The following is an 18,870-nucleotide window of genomic DNA, read 5'->3' as shown; positions in this document are numbered from 1 at the left end:
GTTTCAGAGGGAGAGAAGGAAATGGGTGAGTCCAAAGCAAATCGCAGGCCGCCAGTAACTCCAGCACGCGGGCCCAGGAGCCTGCTGACCAGGCCCCTCAGCCGGGTGCCAAATGGCCCTCACCCCACACGGCGGACTCTGGGATTTGGTCCCTGGCAGGCCCAGGGAGACCAACCAGCACAGTGCTGGAGCCGCCAAGTCTCGGGCCCCTGCCACTGAAGCCTGGACACCTGGCTTCATTTTGTGTCTGTGTCCCAAAACTTCAAGGCACCAAACAGGGAGCGGGAGCCAGTAACAAAACCAGGCCTCGCCTCACCCAAGCTCTGTCTCCTGGGGCCCAAAGGCAGGCAGCCCTCCGTCTTCGAGGCTGGGTGCCTTCGGGGCGAGGACAGCCACCTTCACCCCAACCCCAAGAAAGACCTGGGCCTGAGGCATCCGGGCCGTGGCCCAGCTGGACCTAACTTCCCTGACCTGGGGCAGGCCGCTTTCTCGGGAGCATGAGGCCTGTGCCTTCCTATCTGGGCAATGCCTGTGGGCCTGCGGGCCTTCCCCACACACCAGGCCTGGCCCCCCACCCCACCGCCACAGCCCGCACTCCAGGCTCGTCCTGGGGAACGGGCAGGAGGGCCTTCCTACCAAACTCTCTGGCCCTGCCAGTCGGAACACTCTGAATTTCCCTAAAACAAAGCGAAGACTGGAGACATGGGGCACGGCAGAAGCACAGGTCCCAGCCTTCGGAGACCAGAGCCTGTAGTCCAGAAGGGGCCCCCACCCCAAGCGCATCCTCCCCAGCTCCCAGGCCTGGGGCCACTCACCCGGGGCACCCGCCGCTTGTACTTGTTGCCATAGTCGAATTTCTCCTTCACGTCGTCCAGGCAGCGGCCGAGGCGCGCCTGCTCCTCCTTGCCCGTGTAATCCTGGCTCAGCAGGATGTAGGCCCGCCAGTTGGCCGAGTCGAAGCCCCAGTGGCAGGTCCGGTTCTCCAGGGCCTTGTGCGAGTGCACCACGAACTTGTGCGGCGGGTACATGAGGCGGCAGTCCAGGCACTGGATGCAGGCGGCGCTCGGGCTGCTGTAGAGCTCGGGCACCAGCAGCCCCTTACACTTGCCGAAGCACTCGTGGTACACGCGGACGCTGCGCTCGCTGAGCTCCAGGCCCAGCGCCAGGCTGGCGGCCAGCTCCTTCTTGCAGGGCGGCGGGTAGGCGCCGCCGTAGAGCAGCGCGTTGCACAGGCGCTCGGCGTCCGTCTTGGTGATGAGCCCGCACGAGGGCGCCGAGAAGGGCAGGATGCCCATGACTTTGAGGATCTCCAGCTGGTCGGCCGTGCAGCGCGAGCAGTAGATGTGGAGCTCGTCGCACACCGCGTTGATCTGCTGCAGCGAGAAGTCGCGCAGCACCGAGTTGAGAATCTGCGGCAGACACAGGCGCTTCTCGCCTCCCACCACGAAGCACGAGATGGTCTCGCCTTCCAGTACGGTCTCGCAGCGCTCGGTGGAGCGGTCGGACGGCATGAAGAAGGGCCCGGGCAGCACGGGCGGCGGCGGCTGGATGGCGGGCAGGTGCAGCACGGGCGGCGGCTCGGTGGCTGCGGGCACCGGCGCCGGCACCGCGGCCGCGCCCGCCTCCTTGGCGCTCTCCTTCTTGTAGGCCTCCTGCGCCCAGCGCGCCGAGAAAGCGGCCGGGCCGCCCAGCGAGCTCATGGAGCTCAGGTGGAACTGCTCCAGCGTCTTCTGCAGCCCCGGGTGCGGCTGGAAACAGCCGCGGCCGCCTGCCGCCGCCTCCATGGTGCGCTCCGGCTCCCCCGGCCGCTCCCGCTCCCGCGCGCCCGGGCCCCCCCGGCCCCCGCCGCCGCCCCGCGCGCCCCGGCGGCGCCCGCGGCCCCGACCCCGGCCGCCCCCCGCCGCCGGCTCACGGCCGATCACGGCCGCGGCCTCGCCCGGGGGCGCGAAGGGGAAGGCGGGCGGGGCGAAGGGGTCCCGCCGCTGGAGCCCGCCGCCGCCCGGGCCCGGCGCCACATCCACGCGCCCCGCGCCGCGCCCGCCGCCGCCCGGGCCCCCCGCGCGTCCCCCGCGCGCCCCCCGGGCTCTAGGCGCGGGGCATGCCCCGGCGCGCGCCGCCAACGCCAACGCCAACGCTCGCGGGCCCGGGGCTCGCGGGGGGCGCGCGGGCAGGTGCCGGCGCCGCGAGGCGCGAATCGCCGCGGCGGCCGAGGCCGAGGGGCCCGGGAGGAGCGGGGGCGCGGGCGCGGGGCCCGCCGGGCCGTCCTCGCGCGGCGCGCCGCCGCCGCCCCGCTCCTCCCACCGCGAGGCGCCCGCCCGGCTCGTCCCGGCGGCGCTGGCCGGCCGCGTCGCGCCCGCCGCCGGCCCCCGGCCCGCCCGCCCGCCGGCTCCGCGGCCCGCCCGCCCGGCTTCCGGGGCGGCGGAGGCGCCTCTCGCCCGCGGCCCTCAGAGCGCGGCGGCGGCGCGGGGCTCGGGGCGCTCGGCGCACATCCTCCCGGCGGCTCGCTCCGGCTCGGACTGAGCGCCCGGCGCTGAGCTCACGCCGCCGCCGCGCCGCCCCGCCCCGCGCCGCCCGCTCCGCCCCGCGCCGGCCCCGCCCCCCGCGCTGTTTGTTGCCGTGCGTCCGCCTCAGCCCTAGCGCTGGCCAAGAATGTGACCCGCTCCCCAGCCGGGCTCTTCCAGGAACGCGCGCTCCCCGCCCGGACTCGGCCGCGCTCGGCTCCGCTCGCCCGGGACTCGGCCACGCTCGGACCCGCCCTGCCATGACTCGGCTCCGCTCGGCCGGGACTCGGCTACGCTCGGCCATGCTCGACTCCGCTCGGCCCCGCTCGGCCCCGCCCGCCGAGGGCCGCTGGGCGCGGGCGGAGGCGGAGGCGGCGGTGGCGCCCGGGGCCCCCCTTCCGGCCGAGGCCGCTTCCTGCGCCGCTGGGAAGGCGCCCGTCTCGCCGCCGTCGGGGCCCAGAAACCCACAGGCCCCCGCCACGACCGCAAACCAGCTGGGGGCGGCCGGGGGGCCACGCCACGCACCCGGGGTTCTCCCAGGGTGGGACACCACACAGCGGGGAGGCCCCGGACGCCTCTGGGGTCCCACACACTACCGGGACGCCACACGGTGACCTGGGGTCCCACACACGAGGGGGACAGCGGCCACGCCCAGGGACCCTGCGCCGAGACGGGCACCGCGTCGCGTGACCCTGGCGGCGCAGCCCGGCGGCCCCCGCTGCGCCGTGGCCGGTGGCTCGGTGGCCGAGTGTCCGCGGCTCCCGGCCGCGCCGGCCCCGCCCCGCCCGCCGGCCCCTGGCGGAGTGTCCCTGCTGCGCGGGCCGGGGGCTTCGGGCCTGGGAGGGGCGGCGCCCGGTGCCCCAGACGCAGCCGGTCTGCCAGCCACTCCTGCCAGGTGGCTTATCAGGACTTCGGCCCCGCGGGGCCCGGCGTTCGGGCCGGCGAGACCCCTGACCTCCGCCCCGGGGCCGTGGAGCGCTGAGACGTCTTTCGGGGTCGGATCGGCCGGCCCTCCACGCCTGGCCACGCAGTGGGAGAGACTCAAGCCTTGGCAGGGCGGGGAGCGGGAAGCCCGGGGCCCCGAAGTTGGACAGTCGGCCGGGTGGTCTCCAGGGGAGGCAGCTTCCAGCGAGGCCTGCGGGCGCAGGGACGCAATGGTGTGTTTGGGGAGGGGCAGGGCTCGGTCTGTGCTCGCCTGAGGCGGAGGGACATGCCCCACGGGCCGGGGGTGCCCAAGCTGGCCTGGGTGCTGGGCGGAGGCGAGAGGGCCACGCCGCTGCAACCTGAGTGACCTTCAGCTGGGACCTCCTGCCCCTCACTTCCCCAGTGGAGGCTGGAACCTGCCTCAAACCAGCACTCCTGGGCGCAGTTCCTATCCTGGGGGAGCCGGCCCGGAGTCCCTGTGCAGGTCTTGGCCGGACCTGCGGCAGGGCAGGTGTCTAGAGAGGCAGCCAGGACCTACCTGTAGGTGACCCCAGGGCGGCTCCATACTCCCTCTCTCCGCTGCCTTGGGGGTTGTCTCCTTGTCCTCACACTCCACACTGTCCCCCGACTCTTCCCATTCACTCCGTTGGCCCCCACAATTGGAGGCCAGGCTTTCTCTGTGTGTTCACACACCAGAAAGCTGGGTAAGAAGATCATTTCCTTAAAAGTGATATTTAACCCGGCAAGGTGGCTCACGCCTGTAATCCCAGCACTTTGGGAAGATAAGGCAGGCGCATCGCTTGAGCCCAGGAGTTCAAGACTAGCCTGGGCGATATAGTGAGACCCTGTCTACAAAAAATAATTTTTTTTTTTAATTAGCCGGGCATGGTGGCCTGCACCTGTGGTCTCAGCTACTTGAGAAGCTGAGGTGGGAAGATTGCTTGAGCCCAGAAGGTTGGGGCTGCGGGGAGCCGTGCTTGAGCCTCTGCACTCCATCCTGGGTGATAGGGACACACCCTTTTTTTGAGACAGACCCTGTCTCAAAAAAAAAAAAAGGGTCAGCCTCAGTGGCTCATGCCTGTAATCCCAGCACTTTGGGAGGCCGAGGCAGGCGGATCACGAGGTCAGGAGATCGAGACCATCCTGGCTAACGGTGAAACCCCGTCTCCACTAAAAATGCAAAAAATTAGCTGGGCGTGGTGGTGGGCGCCTGTAGTCCCAGCTACTCAGGAGGCTGAGGCAGGAGAATGGCGTGAACCTGGGAGGCGGAGCTTGCAGTGAGCCGAGACTGCGCCACTGCACCCCAGCCTGGGCGACAGAGCGAGACTCCGTCTAAAAAAAAAAAAAGGATATTCAGTCCAGACGCAGGGGCTCACGCCTGTAATCCCACCACTTTGAGAGGCTGAGGCGGGTGGATTATTTGAGATCAGGAGTTGGAGACCAGCCTGGCCAACATGGTGAAACCCCCTCTCTACTAAATATACAAAAATCAGCCGGGCATGGTGGCACATGCCTGTAATCCCAGCTACTCGGGAGGCTGAGGCAGGAGAATCGCTTGAACCTGGCAGGTGGAGATTGCAGTGAGCTGAGACTGCACCACTGCACTCCAGCCTGGGCGATGGAGTGAGACTCTGTCTCAAAAAAAAAAAAAAAAAAAATAGAAAAGGGACTTATTTGTTTTCCTGGAGATAGTTTCGTTGGCCCACGTTTTGGACAAAACACAGCTAGTGTTGCACTTGACGTTGTCACTTCCTTCCATCTGGATTTGAATTCCATACAACTCAGTCAAATTGTAACTCAGAGAAGGTGGTTGCAGCCAGGCCTGCTGGGAAGTGTCTCCAATCAAGCAGAGAATTCCTCTGGCTCCTCTGGTGGACCAGGGGCTCTGTGCAGGGCCCCTAGCATGGGCAGTGCCCACCCAGAGCCTCTGCTTCCTTCTGTGCCTCTGGCTTTGCAGGGTCCTAGCCAGGGACCAACACTTTGTCCAGAGTGCGGACCCCTGGGAAGTAGCCATAGGTGTGCCATGGAGTGAAGGTGCGGGGACAGGTGAGGGCCTCCAGTTGGTCTCTGAAGCTACCTCCACCTTTGTGGACTCTTGAGACTTCCTTCCCCCAATATGTCAGAGCTTCCAGAGGAAGGCACCCACCCCACCAAGGGTCAGAGCAGCCACGCCTAGAGGGAGCCACCAGGGTCCACTTTTCTTCCTGAGCTTGGCAGGGAAGAGGGTGGGGGGTGTCTCCCGCCTGCTGGCCTTCCACCCTCCAGCCCCGCCCAGCAGCTGCCCAGGCCAGTCGCCCACGCGGGCCACCATACTGGCAGGCCGCGGGTTAAGGCTGCAGGCACAGCCACAGCGCGGAGTAGGGTGGGATGGACGTGGTGCCTGCCCAGAGAAGCCCTGGCATGCGGGCAAAGGCAGGGACCTCCCAGCTTTCTCCCTGGCCCCTACCACGGTGACAGGCTTGGTCAGCTAGTCATGAGTTTGTCCCCTTGTTCGATGAGCTCCTACCACTGTAGACACTGGGATCAGGGTAAGGAGACCAGGTTGTACCCCGTGTGGTTCCATTCTGGTGTGAGAGACAACAGTCAATCAACAAACCTGCTAGTACGGGAGCGAGATCTTTCAGATCCCCAAAAGGCGCGGAGTGGCTGGGGCTGGCTGTAGGCAGGGAGGGCCTCCTGGGAGGCTGGCCTTGGAGTTGAGACCCCCACCTTAAGGAGCCAGCAGTGTGGAGATGAGTTGGATGGCGCCCCAGGACCAGAAAGAGGAAGACACTGGCAAAGCAAGGGGTACCCCAAGCTTTGGGGGAACTTGGAAACCTTGGTGGGGAAATGCATCGCAGACCAGCTCTGCTCCACCCTGCCTTGCCCTGCCCTGCTGCCACCCACTCTCTCCTCCTCAGGAAGCAGAAGGAAGGCCTTGTAGCAGCCAGGCATAGACTGCCATTGGCAAAAACATGCTCAGTTACTGGGAAAGAAACCTTCAAATGTGAAAATAAAAATTGCTCAAGTAACATCAGCTTCGTATAATTTTGTTTTGTTTTTGTTTTTGTTTGAGATGAAGTTTCGCTCTTGTTGCCCAGGTTGGAGTGCAATGGTGCGATCTCAGCTCACTGCAACGTCCATCTCCCAGGTTCAAGCGATTCTCCTGCCTCAGCCTCCCGAGTAACTGGGATTACAGGCGCCTGCCACCATGCCCAGCTAATATTTTGTATTTTTAGTAGAGACAGGGTTTCACTATGTTGGCCAGGCTGGTCTTGAACTCCTGACCTCAGGTGGTCCACCTGCCTCAGCCTCCCAAAGTGCTGGGATTACAGGCTATGCCACCGTGCCCGGCCAGTAGAAATTTTAGAAAGACCTTTGTCTTACTTTGGATTCCCCCAAACATAGGCCCTGAGACAAAGATTTTTATTTTACTTTATTTTATTTTATTACTTTATTTTTGAGACAGAGTCTTCGCTTTGTCATCCAGGCTAGAGTGCAATGGCACGATCTCGGCTCACTGCAGCCTCAGCCTCCTGCATTCAAGTGATTCTCATGCCTCAGCCTCCCGAGTAGCTGGGATTACAGACATGCGCCATCACACCAGGCTAATTTTTGTATTTTTAGTAGAGACGGGGTTTCACCATGTTGGCCAGGCTGGTCTCAAACTCCTGACCTCAGGTGATCCGCCCGCCTTGGCCTTCCAAAGTGCTGAGATTACAGGCGTGAGCCACTGTGCCTGGCCTTTTATTTAATTTTTTATTTATAGAGATGAGATCTCACTATGTTGCCCAGGTTGGTCTCAAACTCCTGAACTCAAGCGCTCCTCCCCTCAGCCTCCCAAAGTGCTGGGATTACAGGTGTGAGCCACCGCGCCCAGCCAAGACAAAGATTTGAGTTCGAGTGCTTTGCTTGGGAGGCGATCCAAGGAAGCACAGGAAAGGGTCAGAGCAAGTGAGCGGGGGAGGGGAAGCCGGGCCCTAAAGAGGGATCTGCAAAGCCTCTTACCGCTGGGCACCTGGAGCTGAATCCTCAGGGCAGAACCCAGGGCTCAGAGCCATCCCAGGGGCTGCCCTGGCCAGAGCGCAAGGGAGTGAGGGACAAGCACTGGAGTGGGGGGGTTGATCCAATCAGGAAATGAGTTTAAGGTAGCAAGAGTCAGGTTTCTCGATGTTAAAATACAGAAAGGGAGGAAGGAAGCATGTGGTGTTGGATTGGAATTATTGATACCTGCATGATCTCATAAATGTCCATATTTATAAAGAAAACTGTTGATGTAAATGTGTTTTGTATAAACATCAGCCCTCACTCTGCCCACCAAGACGAGGGACCCCTCAGCAGTAGTGAGCGCACCAGGAAGCCCAGTCTTGGCTCCCAATTTTCATTCACTGAAGGGAACCAAAGTGTTTTTGTTTGTGTTTTTGAGATGGAGTCTCGCTCTGTCGCCCAGGCTGGAGTGCAGTGGCACGATTTCGGCTCGCTGCAACCTCTGCCTCCTAGGTTCAAGCGATCCTCCTACCTCAGCCTCCCAAGTAGCTGGGACTACAGGCACCCGCCACCACGCCGGCTAATTTTTTGTATTTTTAGCAGAGACGGGGTTTCACCGTGTTAGCCAGGATGGTCTCGATCTCCTGACCTTGTGATCTGCCCACCTCAGCCTCCCAAAGTGCTGGGATTACAGGCGGGAGCCACTGCGCCCGACCAGGAACTGGAGTTCTTTAAAGAGATGGCTGACCCAGGCCGGGCGCGGTGGCTCACGCCTGTAATCCCAGCACTTTGGGAGGCTATGGCGGGCGAATCACCTGAGGTTGGGAGTTCAAGACCAGCCTGGCCAACATGGTGAAACCCCGTCTCTACTAAAAATACAAAATTAGCCGGGTGTGGTGGTACATGCCTGTAATCCCAGCTACTCAGGAGGCTGAGGCAGGAGAATCACTTGAACCTGGGAGGCAGAGGTTGCGGTGAGCCGAGATCACGCCATGCACTCTAGCCTGGGCAACAAGAGGGAAAAGTCCACCAAAAAAAAAAAAAAAAAAAAAAAAGAGATGGCTGACCCCAGGGCTGGGAAGGGAGAGAGAGTAACGACAAGACATAAGGCACACCGGGTCACATGGAGAGGGCACTGAGTCACGGCCTGTTTGCCAAATCAGACAGAATAATGATATTAATAGATGGTAATGATAGTAATGAGTTATAATTATCAAATAAAATAGGAAAGCATATGTCTATACATATTTTAATATTTATTAAAATATATTAATGAATTGAAAATTTAAAAAGAGCTATTTGCATATTTTAAACGTATCAGCTGGGCATGGTGGCTCATGCCTGTAATCCCAGCACTTCTGGGGAGGCCAAGGTGGAACGGCTGCTTGAGCCCAGGAGTTCGTGACCAGCCTGGGCAACATAGAGACCCTACTTCTAAAAAAATTTAAAAATCAGCTAAGTGTGGTGGTGCAGGCCTGTAGTCCCAGATACTTGAGAGACTGAGACAGGAGGATCACTTGAGCCCAGGAGGTCAAGGCTGCAGTGAGCTGTCATGTTGCCACTACATGCCAGCCTGGGCAACAGAGCAAGACCCTGTCTCAAAAATAAAACAAACAACAACAATAACAAAAAGTAGCTATGCATGATGGCATGCACCTGTGGTCCCAGCAACTCAGGAAGCTGAGGAAGGAGGATTGGTTGAGCCAAGGAGTCCGAGGCTGCAGTGAGCTAGGATAGCATCAGTGCACTTCAGCCAGGACAACAGAGTGAGACCCTGTCTCTAAAAAAGAGAGGGGGAGAGAGGGAGGAACGAGGGAGGGAGGGAGGAATCTTCCCCACAAAATGCTAATTTGTCACAAAGGGAAAAAGAATGTCAGTTCCAGCGGAGACACAGACCCCACCTTAACCGAGCGATCGCGGTGGGCTCCATTGATACTGGATCCATCAGAGTCCTGCCCCACCTGACAGGGTGGGGTGAGCAGACCACAGTGTCACATCTGCTCCTTTCCTGCCAAAGATGCACAACCTGTGTCTCTCTGTGATGACATCTCAGACAAAGCCACACAGGGAACCGTCTCCAAAAGGCCTGGCCTGGAAGCTTCAAAGAACAGTCAGGGAAAGGCCCAGGAATGTTCCGGACCGAAGGAGACAGAAGACATGATGGCACCTCAGTGCAATGTGTGGTCCCAGGCTGATCTCTTTACTGCAAGGGATATTACTGGGACAACCAGAAAGCCCAGAGTGGGGTCTGACTCCACGTGATTTCCCGCCTTGGACAGCCGTGTTGGGGCGTGTAGGAGAATGTCCTTGTTTTGGGGTGTGGTGAGCACCATGCGGCAACAAACCCTCAAATGCTTCAGGGGAAAAAAAGTTCCTGTACTATTCTTGCAACTTTTCTATAAGCTTGAGATTGTGTCAAAATACAAATTTTATTTTTAACAATGTTAGGAGGAGGAGGTACACATTCTCCATTCGGCCCTGCTGAGCTTGAGCTGTCGGGCAGGCTGCAACCTGAGGCTTCTGACTGCAGCCCTGCAGTGGGGCGCTGTGAGGGTGGGGCGGAGGAGCCACAGGACACCAGAGCATCTGCTACAACCCCAGCCAAGATGGTGCAGGGTCCCCTTCCTAGTCCAAGCACAAACACATGCTGGGTAAAATAGATTTGCTTTTTTTTTTTTTTTTTTTGAGACCGAGTCTCGCTCTGTCACACAGGCTGGAGTGCAGTGGCGCGATCTCGGCTCACTACAACCTCCACCTCCTGGGTTCAAGCGATTCTCCTGCCTTAGCTTCCCGAGTAGCTGGGATTATAGGCGCCCGCCACCACGCCCGGCTAATTTTTTGTATTTTTAGTAGAGACAGGGTTTCACTGTGTTAGCCAGGATGGTCTTGATCTCCTGACCTTGTGATCCGCCCAGCTCGGCCTCCCAAAGCACTGGGATTAAAGGCGTGAGCCACTGTGCCCGGCCATTTTTTTTTTTTTTTTTTTTTGAGACAGAGTCTCGTTGTGTCACCCAGGCTGGAGTGCAGTGGCGCAATCTCGGCTCTGTGTAAACTCTGCCTCTCGGGTTCAAGCGATTCTCCTGCCTCAGCCTCCTGAGTAGCTGGGATTACAAGCACCCGTCATCATGCCCAGCTAATTTTTGTATTTTTTTTAGTAGAGATGGGGTTTTGACATGTTGGCCAGGTTGGTCTCAAACGCCTGACCTCAGGTGATCCACCTGCCTCGGCCTCCCAAAGTGCTGGGATTACAGGTGTGAGCCACCTCGCCTGGCCAGATTTGGTTTTTTTGTTTTGTTTTGTTTTGTTTTTGAGACAGAGTCTCACTCTCTCGCTCTGTTTCCCAGGCTGGAGTGCAGTGGCACAATCTCGGCTCACTGCAAGCTCCGCCTCCTGGGTTCACACCATTCTCCTGCCTCAGCCTCCTGAGTAGCTGGGACTACAGGCACCCGCCACCATGCCCAGCTAATTTTTTTTGTATTTTTTAGTAGAGACAGGGTTTCACCATGTTAGCCAGGATGGTCTTGATTTCCTGACCTCATGATCTGCCCGCCTCAGCCTCCCAAAGTGCTGGGATTACAGGTGTGAGCCACCTCGCCTGGCCAGATTTGTTTTTTAAATGTCCTGTAAAAAGGCACAAGGAAGGTAGCTGTGCAGAGCTAGAAATGAAGATAGCACTCAAGCCACAGTGGTAAGCAAGAGTGGAAACCAAACTGCCAATGCAAGCCTTGGGCCTGGTCTCACGTCCACTGAGGGCTGCTGGTTAAGGCCAGTGAGAGACAAGAGTCATGGCCACAGGCCCTTTCTGAATGGGATCTGGAACTGGGCTTCCATCATAACAATAAGAGCTAAGAAGGGTCTGTCCCAGTCCATGAAGGGGAAATGGAAATCTCTGCCCACCAGCCTAGACATGGAGCCCAGAGAGTAAGCAGCCCAGACTAAGCCAGAAGGACACAGGGCTCCAGGAAAACAAGGAACCAGTGGAAGGTAGGATGCAACTGACTAGATCAAACACTGTGTGGAGGGCTTGTTGGAAGAGGTAGGTGGGATGGGCCATAGGCACAGAGGAAACTCAGCAGATGACAGAAGAAAGCAAGGCCACTACTAACTCCAGGAAAAATAAAGAGAAAACCTAAGCAGAGTTCACTACTTGACTCAGCAGAGAGTTATAGTACAAATTATAATAGAGACATCAACTTAAACAAAAATGAGGAAATTGCTCATTTGGGAAGACAGAAGAAGAGATGGTAGGGTGGGGCAGGGAGCATTGGATAAGAGCAAAACCCTCATTCTCCAGTAACATCTCACCATGTATAAAGCTGCTAAACCAAGGAGGAGCAGCAAGAGCACATAATTGAGAAGTATGGAGAGAGCTAAGACAAAAAAAAATGGGTGAAAGCTTTGAAAGAAGCTGACGCTAGGGCCGTAATGGAGGAGCAAAGGAGGGCCAGGGCTTGGTGAGTTCCACAGAGACAATAGTTTCTACAGATTCTACAGTTTCAGTATTTAAACTGTACTAACTTTGGGGGTTCTTTTTGTTTCTTTTATCTATGTATCTGTATTTCTTTGGTAACTATTAAAATAAAGAAACACACTAGAATTCCAAACTAAAAATAACAGGCTGAGGGCAGTGGCTCACACCTGTAATCCCAGCACTTTGGTAGGCTGAGGTGGGCGGATCACCTGAGGGCAGGAGTTTGAGACCAGCCTGGTGAAACCCTGTCTCTACTAAAAATACAAAAATTAGCCAGGTATGGTGGCATGTGCCTACAGTCCCAGCTACTCAGGAGGCTGAGGCAGGAGAATCACTTGTACCCAGGAAGCAGAGGTTGCAGTGAGCTGAGATCGCGCCACTGCACTTCAGCCTGGGTGACAGCGAGACTCCATCTCAAAAAAATAAATAAAAATAAATAACAAAGAAAAATACACATTCCCATCAAAAATCACCATTATCTGGGACATTGCAAAATACTTTGGACACATCATCAATTAAAGAAGGGATCAAAATGGAAACCACAAAATGTTTTAAATTGAATGATAATGAAAACACTGTCAATGAAAATTCCTGGATGTAGCTTACATGGTACGTAGAATGTTATAGCCTTCAGATCATATATCAAAAAACAAGAAAGTGACTTTTGCCAAGTGAAGAATCTACAGATGTCTTAAAGTTTCTCTTTTGCGCTGACCTGCAATTTCTAGTTTTCTTTGTTTTTTTTTTGTTTTTTTTTTTAAAGACGGAATCTCTCTCTATCGCCCAGGCTGCAGTGCAGTGTCACTACCTCGGCTCACTACAATCTCCGCCTCCCGGGTTCACACAATTCTCCTGCCTCAGCCTTCTGAGTAGCTGGGACTACAGGCGCCCGCCACCATGCCCGGCTAATTTTGTATATTTTTAGTAGAGATGGGGTTTCACCATGTTAGCCAGGATGGTCTTGATCTCCTGACCTCATGATCTGCCCAGCTCGGCCTTCCAAAGTGCTGGGATTACAGGCGTGAGCCACCGCACCCAGCTCTTTTTTTTTTTTTTTGAGACGGAATCTCTCTCCATCGCCTAGGCTGGAGTGCAGTGGTGCGATTTTGGCTCACTGCAACCTCCGCCTCCAGGGTTCAAGCAATTCTCGTGCCTAAGCCTCCGTAATAGCTGGGATTACAGGCACATGCCACCATGCCCAACTAATTATTGTATTTTTAGCAGAGACGGGGTTTCACCATGTTGGCCAGGCTGGTCTTGAACTCCTGTCCTCAGGTGATCTGCCCGCCTCGGCCTCTCAAAGTGCTGGGATCACAGGCATGAGCCACCATGCCTGGTCGGCAGTTTCTGGCTTTCTTTTTTTTTTTTTTTTTTTTTTGAGACAGAGTCTTGCTCTGTTGCCCAGGCTGGAGTGCAGTGCTGCAATCTTGGCTCACTGCAACCTCGGCCCCCCGGGTTCAAGCTATTCTCCTGCCTCAGCCTCCTGAGTAGCTGGGACTACAGGTGCCCACCACCACACCTGGCTAATTTTTTGTATGTTTAGTAGAGATGGGGTTTCACTGTGTTAGCCAGGATGGTCTCGATCTCCTGATCTCGTGATCCGCATGCCTTGGCCTCCCAAAGTGCTGAGATTACAGGCGTTAGTCACTGCACCCGGCCCATTTTCTGGCTTTCTAAGGAAGCTGCCTTCAGTTTTGCTTGCGTTTCCTGTTGTTTCTCTCAGAGCCATTCTGCCCAGGAGAGCCCTCGCCCACCATGGGATCTTCTGTGAAATCAGTTGCCTGACCTGTACCGTGCCCAGGTGGCCTCGGGTGTGTGTCAGCCTCCCGGTGGTGGTCCCAGAGCCAGGGCCTGCCTCTTGAGATCACCTGAGGTGATGCATGGGAAGTGCTGAGCAGGGCACCTGCCTCTGGGGGGCCATGGATGGTCCTGCCATTGTGGCCATTGGGAACCAGAGGGTGAGAGCAGGTGGCCAGCAGACCACCCCACTCAGAGCCACAGCCCAGCTCCTGCCCACTCCCCACAGGGACAAAGCCAGGTAGGGCAGCAATGAGGCTGCCCAGCCTTGGACAGCCTGGGCCAGGCATTGAACCATCCCGGGAGCCAGGTGTCCACCCAACCCCACCTTGGGCTCACACCCAGAGTGTGACAGGGCCTGGCCCAGGTCCCAGGCTAGGGAGACAAAGCTGGCTCTCTCGGGCTCCCTTTCCTGCAGGAGACCCCTGGCAGCCCATGCCCAGAGACACAAGGACCTTGGAGGCTGAGGGCGCAGCAGCAGGATGTTGGGCCCGAGGGAGGGAGGGGCACAGAGGCCTCGACACCCTCAGCAGCCCGTGGCCTGGCTCTGAGGACGCATCCACAGCCTGTGGACAGCCAGGGGGACACTGGTGAGGCCCAGCCTGGGGGGCCGTGTGCTGAATTGAAGAGCCAGTGTGGGCACCCAGCCCTGCCACCCTCACCCACTGAACCCTGTCCTGGGGGCATCCTGTGCAGCCCTGGATTGTGCGCTGTGCTGGTCATAGCTGCCCGGGGCTGCAGCCACACCACGCCACGCCACGCCACCCCAGTCATTCGCCGCCACCTCCCTGCGTGCCCTCGGCACTTCACTGAGCCCGGGACCCCCAGGCCAGAGATCACTCTTGACTTAGCTGAAGCGGTTGTGTGTCAAACAGTGGGGACAGAGCGAGAGCCAGGGACCCAGCCGCGGCCTGGGCATCACCAGCATCCTCCGAGGCCCTGGCTGCTGTCCTTTACCCGGCACACAACACTGAGCACCACGAGGTGGGCACAGGGGACCCAATGGGGGCAGAAGGGTGCTGTCCTTGCCCACACAAAGCTTTCAGCCAGCACTTCTCGAAGTGGGGGACCATCCCCGCAGTGCTTTCCAGGGGCCCAAGCTGTGGCACTGTTGGTTGCAATGGCAGAACCTCATAAGTCATCACAGGCACTGTGGGACCCTGGTGCCAGGACTGGTTTCCCTCAACATGCTGAGCCAGGTGGCATTACCGCCACGTGCAGACCAGAGCATGCTGAGGCTCAGGGCAGCCTGGGACCTACTGGGGCAAGCGGCTGGTCGGGGCGGGAGGTCAGGTGAGGGCAGGGTGTGTGTGAGGGCCAGACCTCGGGGGCCCAGTGGTCCCAAGGGCAGCGGGGGCTCCTTCACGCAGGTCCTACCCTTCAGTCACCCACGGCACCTGCCCGCAGCCACCTTCCCGCTACTCAGAGGGGGTGCAGCCTCCAGGCTCAGACCAAGCCATCCCAGGGGCCCAACCCCTCACCTCCTGCTCTCCGCCTCTGCATGGACGCCCCTTGCCCCCATCCTCACCCCTCCCCATCAGCAGCAGGATACAGCCCCTCCCGCTGTCTAGGGCCATGGCCCCTCAGCCACCCTTCCTGAGAGCAGGATCTGCCCCACACTGGGCTCCCGGCACCACCCTTGGCCCCCTCAGGGAACCCCCACCCACCCCGTTCTCCTGCTTAAGGGTTTGAGGGCAAAGTCCAAGACGCTGCCAGGGACCCCTGCCAGTGTTCTGCCCTCCTCAGGCCCGAGGGCTGGCCTCCCCCTCCTCCTAGTGGGACTCCCGGTCACCCCCTCCTTGTCAGGGGCTGGCTGCCTTCCCAGCAACAGGCCGTGAGCTGACCAATGGCTGGCCTGGGCCTGGTGAGGTGCAGCTGTGCTAGGCCCTACTGCTGGCGGGACACAGGTCCCCAGGCCAGGTGCCCCTTGGCACTGTGTTTGGAGGGATGGCTCCCTCTTGGCTGGGGGCACTGCCCTGAGGACCCGTGCTGTCACCCAGGCCCCACGCGCCGCCCAGAGGCCCTTGCCCCTCTCGGCTCCCGGGGTCCCATTCCAGGAATGAAACTGGGCTGGGCCAGCCACACAGTGTGGGCGCCTGTGCAGCAGGCGGAGGGGAAGCACAGGGTGGGGCCAGGACTCCGAAAGGGAAGGGAGGAAGGGCAAGGGCGGCCGCGGGCACTGGGTCCAGCCCTGCCTCAGGGCCATCCTCAGCGCAGCATCCGTCCTGGTCTGTTTCTCAGGGTGGAAGGGCAGCTGGCACTGGGGGAGATGGCACTGCCTCCACCCATCCACCCCTCTAAGGCCCCCAGAGCTTCTCCCGGGGGTCTTGGGTGACTTAGGCCCCTTCCTCTGACATCTCGGGCCTGCTGGTGCCTGCTAGTGGGGGAGTGGGGTGGGCCTGACCCCACATCCTGCTTGGCCAGGCACCCACAGGCCAAGTGACCAGCACAGCCACCCCAGGCCTTGCCATACACTGCACCACCACGGCCTTCGCTCCCTCCCAGGCCCTGCCCATCCCCTGCCAGTGTGGGAGCCCCAGGTTGCAAAGGCCCGGGGCCCCTCTCTCCTCAAGGCAGGGCCCAGGCTCCTCGTAAGCCTGAGCCACACTTGGCTTCCCGAGCAGGCCCCTCCCGCCCCTGCCGTCATTTCTGGCAGGCCCTCTGCGTGAGCTCACGCGTTACATAAGGCATGCGAGCTATGTCTTGGGGGAATGAGAAACCCCTACACAGGGCTCTATGTCCCCTCGCCCTCTCCAGTCAAGGCCACCACAAGCCAAGGGAGGTCTGGGCGTGAGAGGTGAGACCCCGTGCTCCCCCTGCCCTGGGTGGAGGAAGGGGGTGCCCTGCCACCCTGAGAACAATGGTGTGTGCAGAAGAGAAGGGACTGAAACTCTTTGAAGATGTTCCAGGATTTAGCACCCAGGGAGCGGCGGAGACTCAGCCCCACCAGCCTCCGGCACGGAGGGAGGAAAGCGTTCCCCAGGCTGCTCAGGAGAACGTTTGTTGCTGTAGTGGGCAGTCACCTTCCAACCGGGGACAGTCACCCCCCTGCTCGGGGACAGTCACCCCCCCGCTCGGGGACAGTCACCCCCCCGCTCGGGCACAGTCACCCCCCTGCTCGGGGACAGTCATCCCCCCGCTCGGGGACAGTCACCCTCCCGGAATGGGGCTTCCTTTCTCGGGGCTGGGAATCACCCTGGATCCCTCCCCACTCGGGGTGCTCTTGGGCCATCTGAGGGCTCCTGGGTCACTCTTGGGCCTTCTCAGGGTTCCTGGGTCATTCTTGGGCCATCTGAGGGTTCCTGAGCCCAATGACACTTCTGCCTAGGCTCGCGCTGCGGGAGGAAGCAGCCAGGCGAGGTCCCCTCCGTGCCCCGGTGCAGCCTGGCCTGGGAGAGAGGAGCCCCCAGCGACACCGAGAGCCAAAACAGGGCAGAGTTTCTCAGAGGTGGCACCCGGCCAGGGAGCCCCTCGCGGCTACAGGGTTTCTCCACGGACTCGGCCATCTGGGGAGAGCAGCCCAGAGCCCTCGAGCCTCCTGCTGTATTCTGTGGCCTGGGACTTGGGGGGACCCATTGAGGACACTGGGACGCAGCCAAAGGGAGGTGCAGACAGTGTGTACTGGCGTTTCCGGGGACCAAGCCCAGAAGGAGCAGGACGGCCACCTCCTGGCCTGGAGGAAAATCCTGCTTCCTGGCAAGAAAACCACCCCTAGAGGAATAGGACTGGGGTGCAGGACGCTTTCTCAGGCAACCGCCCCTTTCCTTCTCCAAAACTGGGGCAGGAAAAGAGCATTCAGGCCAGGCAGCGAAAACCCCAGCTCTGGTACCTCCCGCCCCAGCAGAGGCCGCCTGGAGGCACGGAGTTCCGGCCTGGATGAGGCCTGGGAAGCCCAGCGACTCACAGGCCACGGCCGCTTCCCCTCTCCGAGGAAGGAAAAGTCCCTGCAGCGCGGCCTCGGCTAAGGCTCCGGTGCCCAAGCAAAGGAAGGGAGCGTGCTTGCAGACGCCTCCTGCTGGGAGCCTGCCACGCCCGCCACACCCTGCGCGGGGACAAAGCTCTCCGTGGCTGTGGCAGGGACACACCGCGTGTGGGTGGCTGCAAGCCAGCAGCCCCGAGCGGCCCCTCCCGCTAGACTCCCAGCCTGGGCCCTCTGTCCTCCAGGCAACGAGAACATGGATGCCTCGCTTTTCAGAGACTCGCGTTCTTGGAACTTACACCCTTTTGGGTTTGCTATTTTTACCCACCCTGAGCCTTCCGGTCTCCATGGCGACGCCTCCAAACAGCAGATTCCAGGCGGCAATGACGTCATCTCTCCCTTTCCTGCCGCCCAGGCCTTGGAGGTACTGCTGCCTGGGGCCGGGGGTGGGGGTGGGGGGGCTGCAGGGCTTCCCTGGCCCCCTCCCATACCCACCTGGTGCTCCCCCAACCAGAGATCCAAGGCCTGTGGGCCACGGCTGCGCCTCTCCTGACTCCAGCTTGCCCGTCTGTCCTTGGGGGCAGCGTCCTTCCTTCTCTCGGCCCCTTGGAGCAGCTCTGCGGGAACCCCACAGCAGCCCAGCGGATTGAACGCAAAAGACAGCCACCCTCCTGCTCCGGATCCTGGGAGGAGGCTACACGCTGGCGCTGAGACAGCAACCTGCCTGGCCTGGGAAGCCCCCCGCAGCCCCTACATCAGAAGCTTGCTCTTGGCGCAGTGGCTCACGCCTGTAATCCCAGCACTTTGGGAGGCTGAGGCGGGCGGATCACGAGGTCAGGAGATCGAGACCAACCTGGCTAACACGGTGAAACCCTGTCGCTCCTAAAAATACAAAAAAACAAATTAGCTGGGCGTGGTGGCGGGCGCCTGTAGTCCCAGCTACTCGGGAGGCTGAGGCAGGAGAATGGTGTGAACCTGGGAGGTGGAGCTTGCAGTGAGCCGAGATCACACTACTGCACTCCAGCCTGGGCGACAAAGCAAGACTCCGTCTCAAAAAAAAAAAAAAAAAAAAGCAGCAGCTTGCTCTCGGCCAGGCACGGTGGCTCACGCCTGTAATCCCTGCACTTTGGGAGGCCGAGGCAGGTGGATCACCTGAGGTCAGGAGTTTGAGACCAGCCTGGCCAACATGATGAAACCCCGTCTCTAATAAAAATATAAAAAACTGGCCGGGCACGGTGGCTCATGCCTGTAATCCCAGCACTTTGGGAGGCCGAGGCAGGCGGATCACAAGG

General features: G+C 59.6%; 2 protein-coding genes and 1 long non-coding RNA gene across 4 annotated transcripts in view, besides 4 other annotated features; 1 reads left to right on the top strand and 2 right to left on the bottom strand.

Annotated features, from left to right (window-relative positions):
• The window catches only part of SKI (SKI proto-oncogene), an 81,895-nt gene extending 79,663 nt beyond the window's left edge, over positions 1-2,232 (bottom strand). For both annotated transcript variants that reach the window (XM_005244775.4, NM_003036.4), the window contains exon 1: positions 816-2,232. In XM_005244775.4, coding sequence (XP_005244832.1) covers positions 816-1,784 — 969 coding nt within the window. In that variant the 5' untranslated portion in view covers positions 1,785-2,232. The remainder of the gene's footprint in view (positions 1-815) is intronic.
• Positions 2,402-3,171: a silencer, noted in NCBI's record as "silent region_108". NCBI's record gives its function as "represses an Ori minimal core promoter by ATAC-STARR-seq in GM12878 lymphoblastoid cells {active_cell/tissue: GM12878}" and the evidence as "EXISTENCE:reporter gene assay evidence [ECO:0000049][PMID:35858748]".
• Positions 3,491-4,311: an enhancer, noted in NCBI's record as "H3K27ac-H3K4me1 hESC enhancer chr1:2157679-2158499 (GRCh37/hg19 assembly coordinates)". NCBI's record gives its function as "activates a minimal SCP1, AML or CMV promoter by ChIP-STARR-seq in primed H9 embryonic stem cells {active_cell/tissue: H9 hESC(primed)}" and the evidence as "EXISTENCE:reporter gene assay evidence [ECO:0000049][PMID:30033119]".
• Positions 5,666-6,166: an enhancer, noted in NCBI's record as "H3K4me1 hESC enhancer chr1:2155824-2156324 (GRCh37/hg19 assembly coordinates)". NCBI's record gives its function as "activates a minimal SCP1, AML or CMV promoter by ChIP-STARR-seq in naive H9 embryonic stem cells {active_cell/tissue: H9 hESC(naive)}" and the evidence as "EXISTENCE:reporter gene assay evidence [ECO:0000049][PMID:30033119]".
• LOC124903823 (uncharacterized) lies at positions 9,802-18,160 on the bottom strand. Its single transcript, XR_007065358.1, has 2 exons — positions 18,074-18,160; positions 9,802-10,016 (listed from the first exon to the last, which is right to left on the bottom strand). It is a non-coding gene; the product is annotated as an uncharacterized LOC124903823 (long non-coding RNA).
• FAAP20 (FA core complex associated protein 20) overlaps positions 17,831-18,870 on the top strand; it is a 28,244-nt gene continuing 27,204 nt past the window's right edge. The window contains exons 1-2 of the mRNA NM_001282670.2: positions 17,831-18,002; positions 18,093-18,179. The gene's annotated coding sequence lies outside the window, so the exon portion shown is untranslated. The remainder of the gene's footprint in view (positions 18,003-18,092; positions 18,180-18,870) is intronic.
• Positions 17,972-18,810: an enhancer, noted in NCBI's record as "H3K27ac-H3K4me1 hESC enhancer chr1:2143180-2144018 (GRCh37/hg19 assembly coordinates)". NCBI's record gives its function as "activates a minimal SCP1, AML or CMV promoter by ChIP-STARR-seq in primed H9 embryonic stem cells {active_cell/tissue: H9 hESC(primed)}" and the evidence as "EXISTENCE:reporter gene assay evidence [ECO:0000049][PMID:30033119]".

This window comes from Homo sapiens, chromosome 1, assembly GCF_000001405.40.
Source record: "Homo sapiens chromosome 1, GRCh38.p14 Primary Assembly".
In the NCBI taxonomy this organism is placed as follows: domain Eukaryota; kingdom Metazoa; phylum Chordata; class Mammalia; order Primates; family Hominidae; genus Homo; species Homo sapiens.
This window is presented reverse-complemented; position numbering and strand designations above follow the sequence as displayed.